The following is an 8,909-nucleotide window of genomic DNA, read 5'->3' as shown; positions in this document are numbered from 1 at the left end:
AAAATTAGCTGGTTGTGGTGGCAGGCGCCTGTAATCCCAGCTACTTGGGAGGCTGAGGCAGGAAAATCGCTTCAATCTGGGAGGCTGAGGTTGCAGTGAGCCAAGATCGCGCCACTGCACTCTAGCCTGGGCAACAGAGCGAGACTCTGTCTCAAAAAAGAAAAAAAAAACCAGCCTGGGCAACATAGTGAGACCCCCATCTCTACAAAAAATTTAAAAATTGTTTAGCTGGGCATGGTGGCAGTGCCTGCAGTCCCAGCCACTTGGGAGGCTGAGGCAGTAGGATTGTTTGAGCCCAGGAGGTTGAGGTTGCAGTGAGCCAAGGTAATGCCACTACATTGTAGCCTGAGGACAGAGTGGGAACCGGTATCTTAAAAAAAAAAACAAAAAAAAACTTGCAAAGCAAATTGTATCATTCCATCTTTGTAACAAAGCAAAAAATGAAAAAAAACTCAAAATATACACATATAGTGAATAGTGTGGATAAATAAATTCCAAAATCAACATTAGGTCTCACAATCCAACATTAGATTGTAGGGAACTACAGAGAGATTGACTTTTCGTATTTCCATCTAGTTTGTTTTATTACAATGGCATGTATTATTTTTGTAACAGAAAAATTTTATAAAAATTCAAAACAAAACAAAAACCAAACCCACACTGCCAAAGGTCGCGCCAAGGTTTCCACAACCCAAGGCCCTCCCAGAGCTTCTGAGCCCCCTGGAAAGCAGCTTGCACCTTCAGCCCCTAGGGGCGCTGTCCACTCAAGCCCAGGCCTGGAGTTCTGGTACAAGGCTGGCCATGGGAAAAAGCATTAAAGTCCCAGGACAGGAGGAAGACAAGCCTCCAGGAAGCCAGGGTGTCCCACAGATGGGAAACCCAGCCAGGACTGGGCTCAAGAAGGTGCTGCCAGTGCGGTTCTCGCCCTGGAGCTGCCTGGTGCTGGGGTGCAAGGGATGATGGGAGCGGAAAGTGGGAATAAATGCAGATTCTGGGACATAAGTCAGGACGCTTCAGATTGTGTTTTTGTAATAAAGCGGATTCCTTTATGGAACCCAAATACCAAACGCACCAAAGCTAATTTGTTCAATGCTTAGTCCTATTATTACCAATATTTACAAGTGTGCACCATGTGCCAGGCAGTGTGTTTTACACACATTAGCCTTTATTCCTCCTACATCACATGAGGTTCAATTTTATTACCATTTCCATTTTACAGGTGGGGAAACAGACTCAGAGAAGTGAAGTGACTTATTCAGGGCACACAGCCAGCAAAAGCCAGGCTAGGCTGCAAACTTAGCCCAGGCTCCCAGCCACCATGCTGTACTGCCTCCCAGCCTGCTAGGCACAGGGACATAGACGGAGCCTCGGCGCTTCTGTCTATGATGGAGACAGCACAGGTCTGGAGTGACAAGTCCTGCTTTGATCGCAGGAGCCCCATTGGGCTCAGGAGCACTGAGGTGGGGCGTTGGGCTGCAGGGATCTCTAGGCAGGACTGAGGAGTCCGCAAGCCGCACCTGAATTCTTACCCAGCCACTTTTGGCCTCTCTGTAATCCCCACGGCCAGCACCACACCCTGCCTCTAGAAGTTTGTAGCTCCCCCTCTAAAATGCTGGCCAAATCCCTCGCCTATATGCCTCTCAGCACAGTTGGCTTTTCTGAAAAACAATATAGTCCTGTGGCTAAGGACGTGGTCTGTAGGCCATGGAGGTCCACAGACCTGAGTTTAAATTCCAGCTTTGGCCAGGCATGGTGACTCACTCCTATAATCCCAGCACTTTGGGAGGCGGAGGCAGGTGGATCATTTGAGGTCAGGAATTCGAGACCAACCTGGCCAACATGGTGAAACCCTGTCTCTACTAAACATACAAAAATTAGCCGGGCATGGTAGCATACACCTGTAATTCCAGCTACTCAGGAGGCTGAGGCAGGAGAATCACTTGAACCTGGGAAGCGGAGGTTGCAGGGAGCCGAGATGGTGCCACTGCACACCAGCCTGGGTGACAGAGCAAGACTTCATCTCAAATAAATAAATAAATAGATAAATAAATTCCAGCTTTGACCCTGGTGGTATATGGGTGAGGTGGGGAGATAGAGATGGAAACCCCAAATATACATCAGCCCAGCAGCCCTAAACCGCCTTCTTTACTGTTAGGAAAACAAAACAACAACAACAAAATGGTGTCATGAATATGAACAGCATTGTCAGATGAATTAGTTGAAGTGGTTTTTTTTGGTACTGTGTCCTCAAATTTAATGGATTAAAAGGCCGGGTGCAGTGGCTCACGCCTGTAATCCCAGCACTTTGGGAGGCCGAGGTGGGCAGATCACCTGAGGTCAGGAGCTGGAGACCAGCCTGGCCAACATGGTGAAATCTCGTCTCTACTAAAAATACAAAAATTAGTCAGGCATGGTGGTGGGCACCTATAATCCCAGCTACTTGGAAGGCTGAGGCAGGAGAATTGCTTGAACCTGGGAGGCGGAGGTTGCAGTGAGCCCAGATTGCACCATTGCACTCCAGCCTGGGCAACAAGAGCGAGATTGCATCTCAAAAAAAAAAATGCGTGGATTAATGTGTCTTGTATATATATATTTAAAAAACCTCTACCAAAAACAAAAAATTCCAGCTTTGCTATTCACTAGCTGTGTCATCTGTGTGGCCTTTGGCAAGTGGCTTAACCTCTGAGCCTCAGTTTCCTCCTCCCAAAAATGAGAATACTAATATGTATTTAATATAAATTGTTTTTGTTTTTTTTTCTTAAGAGGCCAGGTCTTGCTACGTGGCCCAGGTTGGACTCAAAACTCCTGGGCTCAAGCGATCCTCCCGAATACTTGGGACTACAAGTACCACCACTCCCAGCTTTCATGCAGCTATTGAGAGGATACATTGAGGTCACGTATGTGAACACACCTGACACATATTGAGTATTCAAAAAATGACAGTTCTCTCTCCTGTGAACCTCTGCTTGTTTATTAAAAGGAGGAAGTTGGACAAAAATTCAGGGCTTCTCAATTTCTCTATTTAAAAACACCCGTGAGCTTTTCTCTTTTCTCTCTATATAGGTTTTGAAATTCTGGTTCATACACAATGGAATACTATGCAGCTGTAATAAAGAAGACTTTTCAAAATTAGTTAAGGGAAAAAAGTAAGGTTAGGAATAGTGTGTCTTGTACACTAGAATCTATGTTAAAAAGAAGGGGAGAGGCTGGGGAGTGGCTCATGCCTGTAATCTCAGCACTTTGGGAGGCCAAAGCAGGTGGATCACTTGAGATCAGGAGTTGGAGACCAGCCTGGCCAACATGGTGAAACCCTGTCTCTACTAAAAATACAAAAATTAGCCGGGCATGGTGGCAGGCACCTGTAATCCCAGCTACCCGAGAGGGTGAGGCAGGAGAAATCGCTTGCACCTGGGAGGTGGAGGTTGCAGTGAGCTGAAATCGTACCACTGCACTCCAGCCTGGGCAACAGAGCAAGACTCAGTCTCAAAAAAAAAAAGTGAGAGAACAATACATAGGCACACTCCCAGGTCTTTCATTCCCTCTACCACCCAGACTATGGCACAGTTTACAAGAGTTTCAACCCCCCACTCTGAGGAAGCCGCAAGTCCACCCAACGGCATGGGGTGATGCTCCCCAGGTTAAAGGACAGGATTTGAGGTTCACGGTTCCAGAAGCTCTATCAGTGCCTTAAATCTGATATTCTGGGATTCTCTACATCCAACAGCAGCAGAAATGCTGCAAGTTGGCATGGTCTGTGGCAGAGTAGGGAAGTTCTGCCTGGAGAAACCATTTCAGACCAGCTTTAGAAGAGGGAGAGGGAATGCTGCTAGCTATCTGACCCAACAAACTGATTTAAGTGAGTCACAGGGAGGGGGGACAGAATCTGTAGTGCCGTGGACAAAGCTGGCATCCCTACCCCCTCAACAGGGTCCTTGCCTTGGCCAGTCAGATATCCCACAGCCATGCGAGACAAGATGCCCCATCTGTTGCTGTGGTGTCTGGGATGCCAAATAAGAAGGCTGTGTACCTGGCGGAGGAGGAGGAGAGAGAAGAAATACCATTTAATTATTTGTGCCAGGAGACACCTCCCACCTCTGCCTCCCTCCTTCCCTAGGGCCTGGTCATGTGCATGTGTGCCAACCTCCCCCATCAGACTGTGAGTTCTGGCAGGCAGGGGTGGGTCTCATTCAACGCTGACTCTTAACTCCTAGCCAGAGCATGGCACAGAGTGGATGCTCACTACTTGTTCATTGAGTGACTTACTGGTGACCTGAAGTCATTCTCCATTTCTTCCCCTGTCATCCATTCTGTCACCCACTTCTGTCAGTTCTTCCTCGGAAATGCCCCAGGGTCAGCCCTCACTATTTGCTGCATGGGAAGCAGTCTAGGTAGTTAGTGGTTACGAGCATGGGCTTTGAAGTTGAGTTTTCTGGGTTTGAATCTTGATTCCACCTACTAAGTTGCAGGGAGGCCTCAGGAGACTCATCTTTTCTCCGCACCTCCAGGTCGTTACTAACATGCTTCCCTCTGCCAAGAATGCTCTCTCCTAATATCCCCACCTAGCGCATCTCATCTTCCAAGGCCCAACCCATCGGTCACTCTTTCTGAAGGCTGCTCTGAGCCCCTGGGCAGGAAGCATCTCTCTTCCCTCCTGGTTCTACTAGAGCATAGGTCAGACTTCTTGAACTAGCAGTTACAATATGGTAATAGACTATAGACTATGTCATGTTCATCTATGCATTAATTTATTTTGTTTTTTGAGCAAGTATGATTGAGCACCTACCATGTGCCAGGCACTGTTCTAGTCACTGGTGAATGAAAGCACCAAAGCCCCTAGCCCTGGGGAGCTGGCATTTTAGCTTCCCCCATGGTCCTAGAGGCAGCTCTAATGTGGTACAAACCACTTAGTCTTAGAGTCAGGGGAGCTGGGCTCAAATATTGGCCCTGATCTTCCATAGCTATGAGATCCTGGGTACATTTCTTTTTCTTCTCTTTTTTTTTTTTTTGGAGTGTGCAGTGGCACGATCTCAGCTCACTGCAACCTCTGCCCCCTCAAGTTTAAGCAACTCTCCTGCCTCAGCCTCCTGAATAGCTGGGATTACAGGCGTGTGCAACCACGCACGCTGGCTAATTTTTTGTATTATTATTATTATTATTATTATTTTTGTAGAGACAGGGTTTTGCCATGTTGGCCAGGCTGGTCTCGAACTCCTGACCTCAGGTGATCCACCTGCTGGGATTACAGGCGTGAGCCACCACAGCCAACTGAAATATTTCTTTACTGTGAAGACAAATGACTGCTCAAATAGGATGAAAGGCAGAATGAAAGGTAACTGACTTTACCTTTAATTGGCTTTGGTGGCTAAGAGACCACATAAAGGGCATAAACCTACCCGAGTGTTGTCAGACCTAATTTTTTTTTTTTTTTTTTTTTTGGAGTCTCGCTCTGTCGCCCAGGCTGGAGTGCAGTGGTGCGATCTCGGCTCACTTCAAGCTCCGCCTCCCAGGTTCACACCATTCTCCTGCCTCAGCCTCCGCAGTAGCTGGGACTACAGGCACCTGCCACCATGTCTGGCTAATTTTTTGTATTTTTAGTAGAGATGGGGTTTCGCCGTGTTAGCCAGGATGGTCTTGATCTCCTGACCTCGTGATCCACCTGCCTCAGCCTCCCAAAGTGCTGGGATTACAGGTGTGAGCCACTGTGTCTGGCCTGTCAGACCTAATTTTTTAATGGTGTCTCAAATTTCATGAAAGCATTATTCAGGCTAAATCCAGACCTTTTGCGATTGGATTTAGCCCATGGGTCCCATTTTTGTCCTCTGTTTGGGCTATCTACTTCTGACCTCCTATTTCCAGTCAGAGCCAAGCCTTTGCCCAGGGTGGGAAGGGTGGAGAGGGTAGGGAGAATAGAGGAGGGGAAGGAGAGGCCCCACCTGGGAGAGATGTCTTCAGGTTCACCAAGAAGCCTGCTTGGTTGAGTGTGGTCAAGGTCATGATGAGAAAGAACGAGATGACTGAGATGATGCAGTCACAGCCCCCATAGATCACAGCCAAGACCAATAGGGCAGGGCCTCGCATTTTGGGGGAAATAGTGGACCGATGGACAATCCTGTCCAGGTTAGACGCTCTCTTCCCTCCTCCCTTCAGTCCTCCCGGACTTCTCCTCCCAGTCATTATCCTCAGTCCCCACTCTGGCCCTTCCCCCTCCTCCCTCTCCCTCTCTGTTTCTTCTTCCCACCTTCCCCTCTTCTGCAGGGATTCACCAGAAGAACCCAGACTTAGGAGGCTGGCTAGTTGAGTGAGCCACCTGGTCTCTTTCTGCCTCAGTTTACTCATTAAGAGAATGGGGTGGCCAGGTGTGGTGGTTCATGCCTGAAATCTCAGCACTTTGGGAGGCCGAGGCAGGCGGATCACCTGAGGTCAGGAGTTCAAGACCAGCCTGGCCATCATGGTGAAACCCCGTCTCTACTAAAAATAGAAAATTAGCCTGGTGTGGTGGCACACACCTGTAGCTCCAGCTACTTGGGAGGCTGAAGCAGGAGACTCGCTTGAACCCGGGAGGCAGAGGTTGCAGTGAGCCGAGATTGCGCCATTACACTCCAGCCTGGGTGACAGAATGAGACTTCGTTTCAAAAAAAAAAAAAAGAAAAAAATTGATTCCTCAGCCACAACAGCTAAATTTCAAGTGCTAAGAGCCACATGTGGCTCGTAACCAATATTCAACAATATGGATATAAAATATTTTTGTTACCACAAAAATAGAAAGTTCTTTTTTTTTGTCTTTTTTTTTTCCTTTTTGTGGAGAATAGGGTCTCGCTATGTTGCCCAGGCAGGTCTCGAACTCCTGGGCTCAAGCTATCCTCCCACCTCTGCCTCCCTGAGAGCTAGGATTACAGGCATGCGCCACTGCACCTGGCAAAACCAGAAGGTTCTATTGAACAGCACTGCTCTTGGAGAAATCATCTGACTGTCTGAAAATGTAAGCCTGAGCCATGGTGCTAGGGGACCTGAGTTTCTGTCCAGCCCCATCACTGACTGGCCAGGCAGTCTTGGACAAACCACATACCTCTGCGCCTCATTCTCTCTATGAACTGTGGGCAGAGGTGGGATCAGGCAATATGTGAGTCTCCTTCAAGCTCTGACCTTCTGGGGTGAATTCCATGAGCTCTGAATTCAGTTTCCAGCTACCTCCACCCCAGTCCCTCTGGAGTGTCTCAGCTGGCCCAGACTTTTCCTGTCTACCAAGAGGAGATCAGATGAACTCACTTGCCCTCGGGCTGTGACGCACTATGTGTTTCTCAAGGGACAACATCTGACTGGACCTGGCCCAGTGTGAGCCAATCAGAATCTCCCTAACCAGAACCTGGTTTAGGGACTTAGGGTCAGTTAGTGAGTCTTTGCAGGTAGCTGAGACTGTCCCTGGGAGAAGCAGGTGGCTGCAGCCATGAGGCTGTGCGTGACTGAGTGGAGGAGAATGCCAGTCTGGAGAGAAGACAGGAGAGGGTGAGAGAGAGGAGGAGAGAGGAAAACACAGCCGACCTCCAGGGATTAGTAGTGAGAAGAATCCCCAGTTTAGGCTCTTGGAATCTGTGACACCCTTGTGTTTTTTAATACATTCTCCCCACTTTCTATTATTTCTACGAGTTCCAACTTATTTCTGTTTCTTGTCACCAAAGATTCCTAACCCACATAGGTTAAAGTGAAGGGGTTTGCTTTATTACTTTTCTGAAAAGTTGAGTAAGTTTTCAGTTGGAAAAAAGTGCAAGGTAAAAAAGGACACACACACACACACACACGTCATGCACGCAAAACTAACAAGAACAAACGAAAGGAAAACAGCTATTTGTTACTGATTTGACAAGTGTTTCTGGAGCACCTACACCATGCCAGGCATTGTATCCAGAGCCTTAGACACATGACCTTGTCTAATCTTCCCTACAACCCTTGAAAGGTGGGCAATGTTTTCTCCATTTCAGAGACAAGGGAATTGAGGCACAGAGAGGTTAAAGGACAGGGCAAGGACACACAGCTGGCCAGCAGCAGAGACAACTTGAGCCAGGGCTTGGCGAGAGGACAGTCAGCTGGGTCTTTCTGACATCAGCACAGCTCCTGAGCAAGGAGATTTCTTGGGTGGGGACCCACTTGGCTCAGAGAGTGCAGCAAGCCAGAAAGACCCCACCCTGCCATGAGGGCGCAACCCGGTCATTCTGGCCACAGGGGAGCACAGTGGTCTTTCCACGGTTTGAAGCGGGAAGGGTAGGTTCAAGAAGAAAATCCTCCGAAGTAAAAAATACTTGGAATCTTTCAAGATCTCTTGTTTTCCATCTTCTCCAGATTTCTCCTATAAAAAAGCCTTTCTGGATTGAGAGTACAAATCATTCCTCTCCTAGCTCCATGGAGGAAGGGAAGAGGCAATACCAAAATTGCTTCTGGAATCAAGAGCTTACTTTGCAGTTGCTCGACTTAATATACAAAAATCTCTTACGGCCAGGTGCGGTGGCTCACACCTGTAATCCCAGCACTTTGGGAGGCCGAAGCAGGCGAATCACCTGAGGTCAGGAGTTTGAGACCAACCTGGCCAACACGGTGAAACCTGTCTCTACTAAAAAAAAAAAAAAAAAAAGCAAGGCTTGGTGGTAGGCGCCTGTAATCCCAGCTACTTGGGAGGCTGAGGCAGGAGAATCGCTTGAACCCGGGAGACGGAGGTTGCAGTGAGCTGAGATCATGCCACTGTACTCCAGCCTGGGCGACAGAGCAAGACTGTCTCAAAAAAAAAAAAAAATCTCTTTCAAATCAATAAGAGGAGGCCACTGGCTGGGGTAGCTCATGCCTCTAATCCCAGCACTTTGGGAGGCTGAGGCAAGAGGATCACTTGAGACCAGAAGTTGGAGACCAGTCTGGGCAATATA

General features: G+C 48.1%; 1 annotated feature.

Annotated features, from left to right (window-relative positions):
* Nucleotides 802-851: an enhancer, noted in NCBI's record as "active region_373". NCBI's record gives its function as "activates an Ori minimal core promoter by ATAC-STARR-seq in GM12878 lymphoblastoid cells {active_cell/tissue: GM12878}" and the evidence as "EXISTENCE:reporter gene assay evidence [ECO:0000049][PMID:35858748]".

Source organism: Homo sapiens, chromosome 1, assembly GCF_000001405.40.
Source record: "Homo sapiens chromosome 1, GRCh38.p14 Primary Assembly".
NCBI lineage: Eukaryota > Metazoa > Chordata > Mammalia > Primates > Hominidae > Homo > Homo sapiens.
This window is presented reverse-complemented; position numbering and strand designations above follow the sequence as displayed.